Here is a 16,482-nt window from a genome sequence, read left to right on the forward strand (position 1 = left end):
TTTGCACTCTGCTTTGGCTGATGTTCATTTAGGTTAAATTGTCACTTTTTTTTTTCAAAACAAGAAAACATACTTCATCAATTTAAAAATGTTCTGGAGACATTTAATGAATGCAAATGTTTCTAAAGTCTAAATTACAAAGTTGGTTAAGAATATAGGTAAGTATATTTTGAAATATCCTGTTACCTAATTTTCTGAGTTAGCCATGAAAGATTCTCTCCTTCCTTCCTTCCTTCCTTCCTTCCTTCCTTCCTTCCTTCCTTCCTTCCTTCCTTCTTTCCTTCCTTCCTTCCTTCCTTCATTTCTTCCTTCTTTTTCTATTTCCCACACCACCTGCCTTTCTCTTTCTTCTTTCTTTCAACTGAACTAACTGGATAGTTGGTGGTTGCTTTCTATCCAGTGAATATAGTGCAGCAGACCATGAGCTCCAATAAATAAATAAAGTTACTTTGTCACAGAGAACTTTGTTGGCTTACTTTTTTATAATTTGTGTAAATTTAAGAGGTACAAGTGCTGTCTTGTTACATGGATATATTGTGTAGTGGTGAAATCTGGGCTTTTAGCTTAGCCATACGTATATGTATCCATTAAGTGTTTCTAGTCACTACATTGCTCAGATTTGTGACATTAATTTAGAGAGGACAGAAAGCTAACCTTAGACCACTGCGTTTGTTTAATATTACAGTCTAGGCCTTTGGTCTCCACTAATTACTATACTGAGGAAACTAATCACATGAGCCAACTGTAGAAACATCTTAGAAATTAGAAATTTTACTAACTGAAATACCTAGTATTTCTGTAGAAGGCATATCATACTTGTACGGCATGTCATAGGTCATAGAGATTAGAGCTTTATATTGTTTTATTTAATTCATTCCTTCAACATTAATTCATTCACAAAACTATTGTGTGCTAGCTATACACAAAATCAAAGATGTCCCTGACCTTGAATAATTTGTGATCTAGTCATTTACTCCGTACAAAAATGGTCAAAGATGGCTCTTATCATCTCTACCTGATGCTTAAATGCTTAAATCAATAGTGTGGGAGCACTGGATAAGAGCCTTCTGAATCTAAATTCAGGGTATTTCCATGATTCCATGTTTCAGACATAGTCTCTGCAAGGAAACATTAGCCTCTACTTGTCAACCCTTCTCTCTTAGTTCGTTTGTGCTGCTATAACAGAAGATCACAGACTAGGGATTTATAATGAACAGAAATTTATTGGACTCACAGTTCTGAAGGCTGAGAAGTCCCAGATCAAATTTCTGGCAGGCTTGGTGTCTAACATAGGCCCAGTCTCCACTCCCAAGATGGCACATTTAAATGCTGTATTTCCCAGAAAAGAGGAACAAGGTTCCTCACATGGCAGAAGATCAGAAGAGCCAAGAGAGAGTGCTCACTCCGGAAAACTATTTTTTAAGGTATTAATCGCATCCATGAGGGTGGAGCCTTCATGACTTAATCACCTCTTAAAGGCCCCACCTCTCAATACTATTACATTGGCAATTAAATTTCAATATGACTTTTGGAGGGGACACATATTCAAGCCATAGCAGTGTTTTAATAACTACCTTGATGTATTGACAGTCGCATGTTCTCTAGAGTCAGGTAGATCTGAGGTAGGATCCCAGCTCTGTCTTCTAATACTTATATGAATATGGAAAAATTACTTACTTTCTCTGTTATCCCTATTTGCAATAGAAACTGCTCATGCCCACCTTACAAGATTGTAGATATCAGTAAATGAGAAGATACAGATGAGACTAGTATGAAGTAATGGAAACACTCAAAACAGGGTGCAAAATGTAAGGAGATGGTACCAGTAATGTAAATAATATTTTAATGTAATATTTAAACATCATATTATTAAATTATGATGCATAGGTTAGCCATCTGGTTTTGTGGAAAAACAAGTTTTATCAAAAACATCGTCGGGGCAAGGGTAAGGCAAATGAGCCAGAGTCATTCCTGCAAGTGAAGGGTTAAATACTATCTTCATTTAAAATTTTGATGTTTTGTTCATCATGTAGTAGGCAGAATTTCTAAAGCAGCCCCCCAAAGATGTCCTTGCTTACTCCCCAGAACTTGTGAATATTCTGATATGTAATTCTCATTATTATTTCATGTTATATGGCAAAGTTGGTAATCATATGAGCTTTTAAAATCAGAGAGCTTTCTCTGGCTGATGACAGAAGAGTAAAGCAGGAGTCAAGAAGATTCAAAGTGTGGGAAGAATTTAATGTGCTGTGGCTGCCTTTGAAGAAGGAGGAAGCCATAGGCAAGGAGTGCAGAGCAGCCACATAGGATGAGAGTGATCAGTAGGCAAGGAAATAGGTACTTCTGTCCTACAACCACAGATTATATTGTGAACAGGAATGAGTTTGGAAGGCAACTGTAAGCTACGACTTAATTTCACCTTATAAGATCCTGAGCAGACCCAGCCATATCATCATGGACGTCTGACCTACACAAACTTTGAGATAATAGATGAGTGTTGCTTTAAGCCACTAAATCTGTAGCAATTTTTATGCTACAATGAAACAAATAAATCATAAATGTTTTGTATTATTATTATTATTTTTTTTTTGAGACAGGGTCTCGCTCTGTCACCCAGGCTGGAGTGCAGTGGTATGATCTCAACTCACAGCAACCTCCGCTTCCTGGGTTCAGACGATTCTCCTGCCTCAGCCTCCCAGACTACAGGCACCCGCCACCACACTCGGCTAATTTTCTGTGTTTTTAGTAGAGATGGGGTTTCACCCTCTTAGTTAGGATGATCTCAATCTCCTGACCCCGTGATCCGCCCGCTTCGGCCTCCCAAAGTGCTGGGATTACAGGCGTGAACCACCGCGCCTTGGCCCTAATTTCCATTTTTAATGCTATCTTCATTTAAAATTTTGATGTTTTGTTCATCATTGTAGTAGGCCGAATTTCTAAAGCAGCCCCCAAAGATGTCCTTGCTTACTCCCAAGAACCTGTGAATATTCTGAGATGTCATTCTCATGATTATGTTATGTTATATGGCACAGTTGATAATAACATGAGCTTTTAAAAGCAGAGTTTATTGCAAATATATTACATGAAAATATTATTTATCCTGAATACTCAATTTTTGGCACTCCTTACATATTTTACCAGAGTTGAGTGCCTCATTTACCTCCTTCTATTCCCCTTAATATTTGGCATTATGTAGCTACCAAGTGCATGTTCTTATTATTACGCTTGTTATTCACAGTGTCCTGTAATTCTTGTCTTATTGATAGAGAATCATCTTTATCTTCCCCATTTTTTCAAAGTTTCTCTTCTCCGTCTGCTTCTTCCTACCAGTGGCCATGGTCCATGCCTCCTTTACTACATCAGATCCACCTAGTCCCTGGACTAATCAGGTGATTATATATTGGAACAGTGTTGTAAGGTTATCACTGGATATCTTGCCAAGTAATTGTCTCCTTAAAAGGCCCCTGACTTCCAAATAATTCAAAAGTAGTTTTCTCCTGTTTATTTGAGAATTTCTTTTCATCATTTGGTATGGCACATTGAATTCATATTACTAATACAATTTACTCCTACAGATTTCAACTTTTTCTAACTATCTTTTAAAATACTTTTGCTAGATGTAGGGGATTTAGGATATATGAGTTTGAGAAACATGAGTTTGGAAAGAGGTAGGTAAGAACAAAAAAGAAATGGCTAATGAATTTGCCCTCTGGTCTAGAAAGTTCCTATCTGAATTGTTACAGTAACACTTATTCTGGAGTTCCTATTTTATTACAAAAAAAGACAAGGAAAGTAGCTGTAAGAATCATCCATAACCACCCGTATTAATGACTATTTTCACTAGATTGAATCATAGATATTTTATATCTATAGAAAGTGGTCATTTTTACTGTGCATGTTGATTCATAGTTGCATAACTAATCATGACAACTTTATTAATTGCTTATTATCAAGGGTTTTCTCTTTTATTAGAGAACAAGTGACTTCCTTCCCTTGCACTGGTGTGCATATATATCTCTGTGTGATAGAGATTAATGCATAAAGCTTTGCAGGAAACTGCCTCATTGATTTTGTTGCCTTTATATTTGTCTTCCTTAGATGACTTCCACTAACATAGATAAAGGATGTATAGCCCGTTTCAGTGGGACACCCAGGGCCCCGCCTATGGAAGTTGGAGTTCTGGCTTGAGTTCAGGCAGCTGAGTGAAAAAGAGTTTAAAGAGATATTTTTGGAGAAATGAATGCATTATATTGTTGGTTCTTGTTAAGGTCTCCAAAACACTGCTTCTTTGATGTGGGCACTTTTACATAGTAGTAGTCCTTGCTTGTGTTTGCATACTGATTAGAAAGTGCACTAACAACACTGATGTAAAGATGTGCCCCAGAATATTATTTAATTTTCTAATGAGTTGTATAGAAGTTCTATCTCTCAAATCTATGTGTTTGAATATTCTATGCCATATTTTCTAATTCTTCAAATTTCATATTAACCAATCCACAGCCTTAATGTATAATTTAGAAATGTTTTTAAACTCCTGTTGTTTTCCCCCATTATTAAGACTTGAATTGATTTATAAGATTTGTATGCAGTAGTAAATTCTACTCTTAAACATAACTTAATCTAGCGGCATCAGAGCTAATGATGAATAAATGTAACCTACCTTAATAACGGTACTTCCTTTTAAAGAAACTCTCAAGAAGTCTTTTTTGAAGAAAAGTATCAAATCGGTACCTTAGAGTCTTCTGTGCTATGATAGTGCATTGAATACAAGAAAGCTGATGGGGTAGTTTTAAAAAATGTCCTGACAGAGTCAAGGTGATGGCCATTTTTAGCTGCCCTGCTATCCATCACCTCTTTCAGCCAAGCATACTCCATCATATGCAACAGCCTCATGAATTTATGCATCAAGCTGTGCAGCCAGTCGTGCCGAGGGCGCTGGTGACAAGTGAAATTGCTGTGCGCCTCATTTAGCTGTTTATTGCGCCTGAGTACGTGTTGCAGCTGTCATCCCACGATGGGATGATAGTGCTCGTTAATAGACAAGACAGGCAAATAATGATGGAGGCCACAGCAAGAGATGCTCATCTGCCAATGGGCTCTGAGCAATATCACAAACATCCACAAAGTTCTCCATCAAAAGCAGCCCTGTAAGAAAATACAGAAGGCAGGGCTGTTCTTCATGGGACTAACAATGGAGATTAAACTGTTGCAAAAAGTGTAGCCCAGTAGATCTTGTAACTTAGGACTGGCATTTGAGCTTCTACACTATGCTTCCCTTTTAAAAGAAATACAGGAAAATGACCAGACGCAATCTCCAGGTTTGCTTCTGATGTGTAAGTTGACCATATTCCTACCACACACCATGGAATTAACCTTAACCCAGCTGAACAGTTGGCCTTATTCTGCTGGCAACCACAGTACCAGAAATTTGCAAAAGTTATTTTTCAACTGTTTGAAGACTTCTTCTATACATTTAGGATTTTGGATGGCTATGTTTCAATTCTTTTCAGTATTTTAGTGAAAAGTAACTTGAAATAGAAATATTCTATCTTTAGATTTGAATGGAATTTTCTTTTGTATAAAATTGAATTATATTCAGGCATTCATATCTTGGCACATAGCAAAGAAGCTCCTAATAAAATCTCTTGCAGATGAAAGTCTGTTAAACAACTGACTTTCATTTCCCTTTTCTCTGAATATGTGATGCTTAATCTTATGGGTATTTTACAATTGGTGTTTAGTAAGTGCCTAAGGTATAGGCTTAAATGTGAATCTTTATGATTTTACCAACAGGTTATTCATTTTGTAAGAATATAGAACTTAAAGAGTTAATTAGCATGTTTGGTGTAATGAGATGAAGCAAATTCTGACAATCCTTTGCAGACTTTTATATATAACAGTAATATCCAAGAGAATTTGAGTTCTGTGCTTGCTAACTGGATATTATTTTGAGTGTCAAATATAGAAACAAATATCAAGGTCCAAACTGTGAACATGGGATGGAAATAACTATAGGTATTTTAAAATTTAACAGAAGAGCTGGAAAAACCCTTCAGTACAAAAAAATGAAAATGAAATATAGAAATAATCTATTAAACACATATACACTATTAGGAACATGGCCTTCTTGGATTTAATAACATGTGGCTATGACCTTTTAATGATGTCCATTTTGCTATAAGGAAAGACTGACAAAAGTTTAACACAGACATTATTACTCATAAGCACATCAAGAATTATATAAAGTACTAACCATGCCAACATAGAGAGAACACCCTTGTCAGGATCACGAAGCTATCATGATGAAGAAACCTTAACGACCCTCTAGTGTGGCCTCATCATTTTAAGGATGAAGAAACCAAGTCTCCGAGAGGCCAAGTGACCCAGTGAGGTCTGCAATGAGTCACCCGTAGCATCTGCAGGTCTCTGGGGCCTAATGTCCTCCATAGCTGCTGTACCTGTGACATTTCCCACATCCTTGCTGTGACTGACCTTGTGCGCTTATTTTTACTATTTACTAACAAAAATCTTATTTTTATGTATGTGTTGCTTCAAAAGATCATTCTGATTTATTTATTTACATATGCATATTTATTTATATGCTTATTATTTTTAAAGAGGGAAATACAAGACATGTAACAATAGGGGTAAAATAATAAATATTAAATAATGAAAAGAGAAGAGAGAATCAGAACGAAAATACTCAAGCTAAGGATAATTGCTAGATTTGAATATAAAATTTACCACCGATTTAAAAGGATTGATTCATTCTTAAATGTGATTATTGTCTTTGGGCCAAAAATTACTTCAGTGAGAGTGAATCTTCAGTTTTATGATAGAAATAAATTAGAAAATATAAGTTAACTTGCAGAAAAAATAGTTTTATGATGGGCATTTCAAGAATGCACATTTTCTGTAAAGTGAGGCACATCTGTGTTAATTTTTTAAAGGTCTTTTCCTTGTTTAAAACATTCATACCTGTGAATCTTCTGTTTTATTCAAAATGTGTAATGAAAACCATTTAAAACAAGTATCCAGTGAGTATCTTGATCCAGAAATATCTATTTGCCATATAAATCTGATAAACAGTATACAGGACAATGTATATTCTACAACAATTAATTTGGATGCATAGTAGACATCATTACATGGGCAGTACAGAATTATATTTGGATTATATATTATAGTACTGATTTAGCTCAGAGTCTTAATGTAAAATCCCATAGACTAACATGTAATAACTTTATATACTTTATTTTCTTTTCCTGTTTTGTGCTTACTGTGGAATAATACAGTGGGAGCTATGTTATTCTGTTCCTTTGCTTTTTCAAAAATAATGACAACAATCTTTTATTTTTGGCATTTACAGAACTAATGGTCAGCAAATTTGAATATGTTGACTCCTTTTTCTTAATAAAATGGGAAAGAGATGTGTGTTACACACACACACACACAAAGTTTTATTAATGTTTCATAAAATGGTTGCTACAATCAAAGGAACTGCTCTGAAAATTAAATTACTGGGCTGACTCTGAAAATCAGCATAATATGCTCTGTTTAATTCAGTCATGCTAAGATGTTAGATTCCCCTTCATTCTCTCAGCTTTCTCTCTCCTTCACCTGGGGGCATCTGCTGATGAGTCTCTTCTAGAGGTTGTTTAATGACTATTTTACAGGAACTGTCAGCTTTCTAAAGCCCAGTGGCATTGGGCGTCACTGTATTATCAGCCTTTTTACACAATTTGCCTGACTGTAAATCGGAGGTTTAAAAGTACAAGAAAATCTCCTATTTGATTTAATGACTGGTTGATGGGGGTTGATTAATCTTTCTATGCTCGGATGTTTTACTCATAAAGGTCATCTATTGTTTGTTTATACTCACTTTTCTGATTTTAGAAACACAAGAAATAAGAAGACCATTTTGAGAAGAACAGAGAGTAGCCTTAAGAAAATCCCTGTCGCAAGCACTCTGGGATTTGGACTCAAATGCTAATTATACAGTAAGTGAAATGAACACAGCCTTCACATTAACCTAATGTAAAGCTGCAAAACCATGATACCTGCTCAATTTGGTTACAGAAATTGAAGATGGTGGCCCTTCTTTTGAGTGGGGATGGGGGGGATTTATTTCTATTTTTAAAAGCAGGGCTATTGATCATATAAAGAACATTCTTACCTCGCCACCCAGCGCTTTCAAAAAAAAAAAAAAAAAACAAGCAAGAATCTTTTTAGTACTATCATCTTGTTTTACCCAGGACATTGCCTGTATTCATGGTTAGGAGCTTTATTTAATTTAAAAAAATTATAAATTTACCCTTTTAAAAATTTGAATCAATTCATGGTAACCTTAATATGTACAATACACATTCTTGTTTATGGAATATGAGTACTCAGGATGTCCATCAAATTATTTTGGTCAGTTTTAATTTTTGTAGTGTTTAAAGACAAAAGGGTAACTCCTTTGATCGAAAAGTGTATCAATCAATCAAAGCTACTTAATAAATGGTATTAGATCACACAAAAAAGTAGCATACACAAAATAATGCTGAGGAAATATTCAACAAGTTTGTTAACACTATCCTTTCAAAAGTTAACACAACAGAGTACAGTTATTCTTCAACTAATCAAAATATTATCTAACCATGGGCTCCCCTAAACAAGTGGAAAGGAACAATCATTCTGACAGTTTTTCCTGAATGAAGGAGGTCTTTCTTATTACAAGTGGATACAAGACAATACAACCCAGTAGAAGCTGGGGCATACATACTGAGAAAAGGTGGTTGTAAATTCCCCCTTTCCTTTCAAGAGTGAGAATAATATAAACACTGAAGAAAAATATGGTCCCGTAGCTTTTCATTGGAAAATCTGTTGAGACATGCAGAGCTGAGGCATCTGGATATCTACCCTGCAAAATCCCTAGAGGTAAGAATTTTGCTATTACCAAGCAATTCAAGGTGTCAAAAAGCCACCCAACTAAACTTAAGACTGCTTTGTTTGAATCTCAAGTCCACATTCTACCACCAAATGACCATAAAGAAACCATACATGTAAATAAAACAGTGAGTAGAATTCTGGTAAATTTTTCTTAAAGTATGGTTTTAAATGCATTTCTAAGGACAAATATAGAAGGAATAAGGTATAGCACAGTATAGCTGCTCTGAAGATGTAGCTCAGGTATCATCTCTTCCTGGAAAACTCCAGGACTTATTTTACTGTGCAGCCCCCCTTCCTTGGGCTTTTACTGCATTAAATTGCATTCATTTTTTAAAACTTGGTCATCTTTCTCTAGAAAATTGTCTTTATGAGAGCAGGGCCTATTTTATATTTACCTTGACATATCCCAAACATTCCAGGACCTAGGTTAGTGCCACACATTTGGTAAACATTCAATAAATATTATTTGAATTAAATAATCAAGTTCTGCTAAAAGTTTTTCACATTTAGCAGAAGCCAGTTTTAAATATTACATTCCCTGTTAGGATTCCGACTGCTTCGTATTGCTAAGCTTGAAGGGGCAATGAGATTGAACATGGAAATGGAGGCTGTAGTCTCAGCTCTGTGACTACCAAGCAAGGCACTTAAACTTTTGATTCTTTAGTTTCTTATCAGTGAAATTCAGGATTGGATTTAGCGCTGAGATTCTTGACAGCTATGATAATCTGATTCTTAGATCCCTGCTATTCTCATTTGTAGTCAGCCCTTTTCTGTCAGCCTAGCTGCAACTCTAAATTATCACTAATATCTAACATTTACTAAGCATTTATTTGCAGCATTCATACTGCCTCCTATAATACTCACAACAATCCCATGAATAAAGTTTTTACAATGCTAACGCTGGGGCTCAGAAAGATGCAATATTCATCCAAGAGATTACATTAGCCGTAGGTGGCATACATAAGATTCAAGCCTTGATCTTCCAGTGACAATTTCCCCCACTTTTTCCGTTGTGCTGCCCAATATTAACTGTGGCTCATTCATTTCTGGACTTCTAAAAGTATAATATTGTAATTTTTAAAATCGAATTCCTCAAGGAAACAACAGGACCCTCTGAGAGGAGACTTTCTGATTGTAAGTCAATGACTCTGAGTTGTTTTATCATCAGACCTGATGGGGTTCTTCTGATTCCCCCATATCTTTTCTCATCCTCTGGTGCCCAGTGCCATGCATTTTCAACTGCAGTTTCTGGACAGATGGCCAATGGACCCTTCGGCCATAAAATAGAGCTTGGCAAGCTACTCACACAAGAACTGAACTTGTGACCTTGGTGTTATTTTCACTGTACCCCAAACAAGTGATTTAAATAGCCAAAGACAGGTCTGATAAGCACTACATGAAATAAAACACAACCCCAAGATGTGTAAATATTTATCATTCAGGCCATTTATATTTTAATTAATTTCATTTGTTTATTTCAGACTTGTACTTTGTAAAACAATGCACTAGAAACTGCAGAATAAATGCATAGTCTGGATGGACCTCTAGAGCTTAGAGGATATGGGGAGAGGGGAAACACAGATCCTTACCACAGGTCCTAAGACAAGCCAAGTACCAAGAAGTGCAGTCAGAAGAACCTCATTCAGATGTGAGGTATCAGAAAGAGCTTTGTGAGGTGACCCTGATAACCTCTCACTCCTCCCCAGTTCCTCTCCATATCTCTATTTTTATGATCAGGAATAGTTCCCAAGTTACCACTTCAAAAAGGCTGTTTAACAGCCCATTGGCACTCACACCAAATTCTTAATTGGATCTCAGTCCTTGCAATGGTCCTGGCTTGAACTTACTCCACTCCGTATTGTGAACTTATTTTTATCTACAGATCCAGGTGATTTCCAGTGTGATGCCTATTTTTATGTGTCAACTTAACTAGGCTAAGAGATGCCTAGATAGCTGGTAAAACATTATTTCTGGTGTCTGTGAGAGTGTTTCTGGAAGAGGTCAGCATTTGAGTAGGTAAACTGAGTAAAGAAGATCCATGTCACCACTATGGGTGGGGATCATCCAATCTGCTGAGTGACCAAACAAAACAAAAAGAAGAGAAAAGGTGAACTTGGGCTCTCTGTGTTTGAGCTCGGATATCGATCTTCTCCTGCCCATGGTTATTGGCTCTCCTGATTCTGGGGCATTCAGACTTAGACCAGTACTTATTCCAACAACTGTTTGGTTCTCAGTCCTTTGGACTTGGACTGAATTACACCACTGATTTTCCTGGTTCTCCAGTTTACAGACAGTAGAGAGTGAGACTGCTCAGCATCCATAGTCAAGCCAATTCCTAATATATTCTATTGGTTCTATTTCTCTGAAAAACCCTGACTAACACACCCAGTTTACTCTTTCATTTAATTTCCCATTTACTGGTTTCTTACTTCTCTGAGTACCAACTGGACGTTTTCTTCTTTGATTTCGCTTTCACCCCCTCATCTTTTAGTTGTACTTCCCGTGCACTGTATTTATGATCCTACTGCTGTTACTATCTGTGTTACTTAAAGCCTTTGCTCCACATAGTTCTCTCCAACTTCCAGAGGAGCCCAGAGATTTCACTCTTAATCCTTTAGAATATTATAGCACTAACTGCCTTAGAACAGAAGCTCCAGAATATAGAGTGTTTTGAAGAGCCAAATTTAAGATTTTATTTTAAAGGGAGTAAGGAAGCTCAGCTTAGGATTCAACCCAAGGTCAGCTTGACTAGTAAGTTGAGACTATCAGGTGGATTTTGACTTTCATCTAATGGGCAAGAAACTGAGGCAACAGAGTGTCATGGAATGGTTTTCTCTCCTCATGAATCGTCAACCTCCCTTCTCTATTGGCTTTTCCTGAAGGTCTCCTTTAACTCTGAGATTCTGTAATACTCGATGTCAGTCACACTGGGTGTATGGGACAATATAATGATGTGTTTTATGCTTTTGTTGTCTACAAATGTGGTGGTTTCTTTTTAGGAATTTACTTCATAAAATTGTTTTTTAAACCACCAAAGGAAATATTTTTAAGTGTAGAGGGATTTAGAAAATAAGACAATTCAATATTGTTCAGTAAATAGTAATTAACAGACTAGCTTCTCAATCAATGCCAGCTCTTAAATTAGTATCTCCAGCAAGCTACAAGTAATATTTAAAATTAAGTTTAACTTAATATTACCATGTGTGTCCAAATTCTCAAGGATATTCTCAACCTCTTATTATAAACTGCTTTCAAAATTCTATCTTAATATATCTTATATTTTGGGATTTAATTTAGGCAGGTCATGCCACTGCATATATTTAAATGTTTCTCATCTAAGGTTTCCATGAAGTAATGCTGACTTAAAAAGTCTATAATGGTAAAATAAGTGACATTTCTACCAATAACTGCATATCAATCACAACATAACTGAACCCTGATTTGCTAGAAGATTGTTCTCTATTGCTTTGGCAATAGAATATGGGGACCTACTGAAGTTCATGTCAACAATTCCCCCATAAAGTTACAATAAGCTTAACAGATTGTTTCTCCAGGTCTATAATGATGACTGGAATAGGAAATTCGGACAGCAAAAGTGGTCGCTTCTTAGGCTTCCTGCCAGATTTTGAAAACCACTATAACTAGTCGTTTCTGCCAAGTAAGTGAAATCTGAATGCTGGCTAAAACATTTGGAAAAAAAAAAAAAGAAGAAGAAGAAAGAAACCCATGCTGACTAATAGGCGCTAATGTGTGAGTAATAATTAGTGCAATTAAGTGACTGGCGCTGTGTGGGTGAGATTTTCAGAATACAAAACATTAATGTAGGGGCTTGCATACACATAAACAAAGCTTTATAATGGGCTAATATAAGCGGTGATATATGGAAAAGTTTAATGGTCAGAATAAAATTTGTGGAAGTCTCATTGCAGGTATGTTAGTGTTAGGTATAGAAATTCAATGAATATAAATCATTATTACAATCTTATGTAATATTCAAACGTGTGACTGTGTGTATGAGTGTGTGTATGTTTCATATATCCTTGGATATATGGAAAACAGGTTTTGAAGCCTGATAGAGGGCTTAGTAAAACTAAACTGAAGCATATGAAGTTAGAAAATGTTCATGTCTACGAAACCACACTACCTAGCTGTCTACTCAGGTTCCTATTTGTCCCTCTCTACCACCTATTCAACCCCCTATCTCCTTGCCATATATCCACCTCCATTCTTCTATTCTTTAAATCTGTCCAAATAAATGTCTGTCATCCTGCTCTCTCTCTCTCTGTCTGTTTCTCTCTCTCTCCCCCTCTGTCCATCTGTCTCTCTCCTCCACCCATCATTTATCTAAATATATAGGACTAGTTTTCTTGGTAAGTAGTACAGAATTATAACTGAGAACAACCATGGACTTAGTTCATCTAACATGGGGAATAAATTATTATTCTCTCTTAGAAATACTGCTATGTCAAGGTCAGGATTGAGGTCATTTGCAAGGCAATGCAGAGGACAGCATATAATTTACTAGCCAGAATCACTCACAGCTGATGGGGGGTGGGAATAATATTTCCATCAGAAATCCATACTCATTTAGCTTTCATAAACAAATGCTTGTAAAAGTATAAAAAATACTGGGTTGTGAGCTTAATTAAGAAGCATCAAATTATCCACTTCTTTTGTTCACCTTTGGAAAATATATTTAGTAGCTGATGATTAGCGACCTGTGTGTTTATTCAACAGGAATAAGGAACTCTAAATCAACATGTTCTAATGTGCTGTCCTTTGCAAATGAAGACAACATTATTGATTCACAATCAATGGCCATGCATTTATTTCTTCTTTCTTCTGAAGGGTTAAAGTATTGATGGCAAGTGGACTATCATCTGCAGTTTCTTATGTTGTCTAATTTGTGACCTATGGCTTTAATCTAATAAATAGCTGTCCAACATAAAACAAGTAGCTCTTGATTGTGAAACAGAGTAAACACAGTATAAAATTTTTTTTGCTCTCTTTACCAAGTGTCCTGGAGAGTTTTAAAATAGTTCAAATACTCACAATTTCAGTATTTTAAAACATTTATATTTGGTGATGCCATTCACCACTACCCCTTGCTATATATTCTCCATATATGCTCTGGACAATGAAGAAATGAACCTCAGAAATACAGAGGGAGTAAAATAAGACCAACAGGAAAGAATCTAGAAAATATTAAAATAAAATACCCTACAAGTAGGATTCATCTGGGCCTGCATACATAAGTAAAATTATGGTCTGAACTCTGAGCACAACTTGATATTTCAGCCCATCCTCATCATTTCATTCTAATTTTAAAACAACACGATCCCCTTCTCCAATTTGATGGATCCTCCTGCTCTGTTCTCTATCCTGTATCATTTCATCTCTTCCTTGACATAGACATTCTTTCAGTAAACACTACTCTTGGCAAAAGGGATTTAATGACAAATTAAATGAGCCCCCAAATTCCCTAGTATGAAATATTGACAAAATAGATAATTATCTATTAGATATAATCATATATTTATTTAAAAATCCTGCAATTATACATAGAAGGGACTGTGAATCCATACTGTAGGTAGAAGGCAAGAAGGATTTAAGAAGATGAAAAAAATGCTTCCGAGGGGATCTGTTTATGTTTATGCCTGAATTTCAAAGCTCTTCTTCTATACTGACTTTTTTCTGTTAACATGCTCAAGTCTTTCCTATGCTGAAAGAAAGAAAATCTTCTCATCAATCCTGTATTTCTCTTTGACAAATATCCTAGCTCCTCTTCCTCCCTCACTCAGCCAACTCTCTTCTCTGCATGGTTTACACTGTGTCTGTGTTCTCAACTCACTACCACCTAGCTTTCAATTTCCCTACATTGCCCAAATTTTTCTCACTTTGTCACTTTTGATCTCTTTTCTTTTTGAACCCTCTATTCCCAGGAATTCCATGGTATGTATCATTCCAGGTTCTTCTCTTATCTCAATTCCAAATCCTTTCCTCTGCATTCATTTTAAAAACCGATATTCTTGAGTTATCTGGTATAGCATTTCTTCTTAGTCTACATATTGTCCATAGTGATCAATCTCTCTCTCTCTGTGTGTGTGTGTGTGTGTGTGTGTGATCCATTCTCTTGGTTTTAACTATATACTTACCTACATACTTACATCTTCCAAACACAAGCCTCTACCCCTTTGGTTCTCCTCTGAGTTTCAGAATCAAATACCTAAATGTTGAGAACTCTCTGCTTGGAAGTGCCAGAGACATTACCACATTTCCAGTATGGTCCAAAATTTATCTCATCACCTCTTCCTTGACTTACAGTGGGGTTACATCTTTATAAACCCATCATAAGTTGAAAATATATTAAGTAAAAAATAAATTTAATATACCTAACCTACCAAATGTCATAGCTTAACCTAGCCTACCTTACATATGCTCAGTGCACTTACAGTTGGGCAAAATAACACAAAACCTATTTTATAATAAAGTTTTGACTATCTCATGTAATTTATGAAATACTGTACTGAAAGTGAAAAACAGAAAGATTGTATGGGTACTGGAAGTACAGTTTCTACTTAATGTATATCATTTTCATACCATCGTAAAGTTTAAACATTATAAGTTGAACCATGACAAGTTGAGGACAGTCTATATATACAAGTATATAAATATGTATAAGTTCATATGATTAATGTCAGCGGTATAAAAATAAGTTTACTGTACATTTAAGTTGCTTTTATCTATGCCTTAAATTGGTATTCTTTTTCCTAAAGAAGACTCTCAATCTTGCTGGAGTTATCTTTGTTTTACAGATATTTAAACAGAAACACATGCAATTTAAATAACTTTCCCAAGGCCGGTTAAGTGGTAGTAATAATGGTCAGAGATCCTAATCCAATTCTCTTACTTTTAAAATATTAATTGTTTTTACTATGCCACAATAATTCCCTATATAACAACTTACAAAAAGAAAAAAATATATAAAACAGTTTTTTCACTCCAAACCAATAATCAATATCACTTAATGATCAAATGATGTTATAATATAAAAAAAAAGAATTTTGGTGATTTTTAAAACATTATTCTCACTTAAAATGCTCTATGTAAATTGAAATTAGTTGCAGATATTATTAGTACCTACTGATGTAAACCATATGTTTTCTTAATACGTTGCTAATGCAAATTTCAAGGATTATACTATGATATCTTAGTAAATTGTATTAAACACATTAATGGGTATTATATGTTTAAATTTGTTTGTAAATCTTCAAAATTATCAATGTGTGAAGGCAATCTGTTCTTCACACTTTACTCTTGAAAGTTGATATTAGCCTTTTTGAAAGCAGCTAAAAGGACTGAGGTAATAATACATTAGAAAATGAATCCCTAGAATAATAATTAAAATGGCACCCAACTAAAGTATCATGACAAAACATGGCATGACAGGTAGTGAAAATTAAAAACCAAAATTAATCAAAATATGAAATAACCACCAATAATTAAAGTCCCTTGCAAAAATTAAGGATAGTGATTCTTTTAATGATC

General features: G+C 35.4%; 1 annotated feature.

Annotated features, from left to right (window-relative positions):
• Positions 4,616 to 5,367: an enhancer, noted in NCBI's record as "VISTA enhancer hs284". NCBI's record gives its function as "enhancer in: neural tube[6/7]" and the evidence as "EXISTENCE:transgenic organism evidence [ECO:0001131][PMID:17130149]".

This window comes from Homo sapiens, chromosome 6 (assembly GCF_000001405.40).
Source record: "Homo sapiens chromosome 6, GRCh38.p14 Primary Assembly".
NCBI lineage: Eukaryota > Metazoa > Chordata > Mammalia > Primates > Hominidae > Homo > Homo sapiens.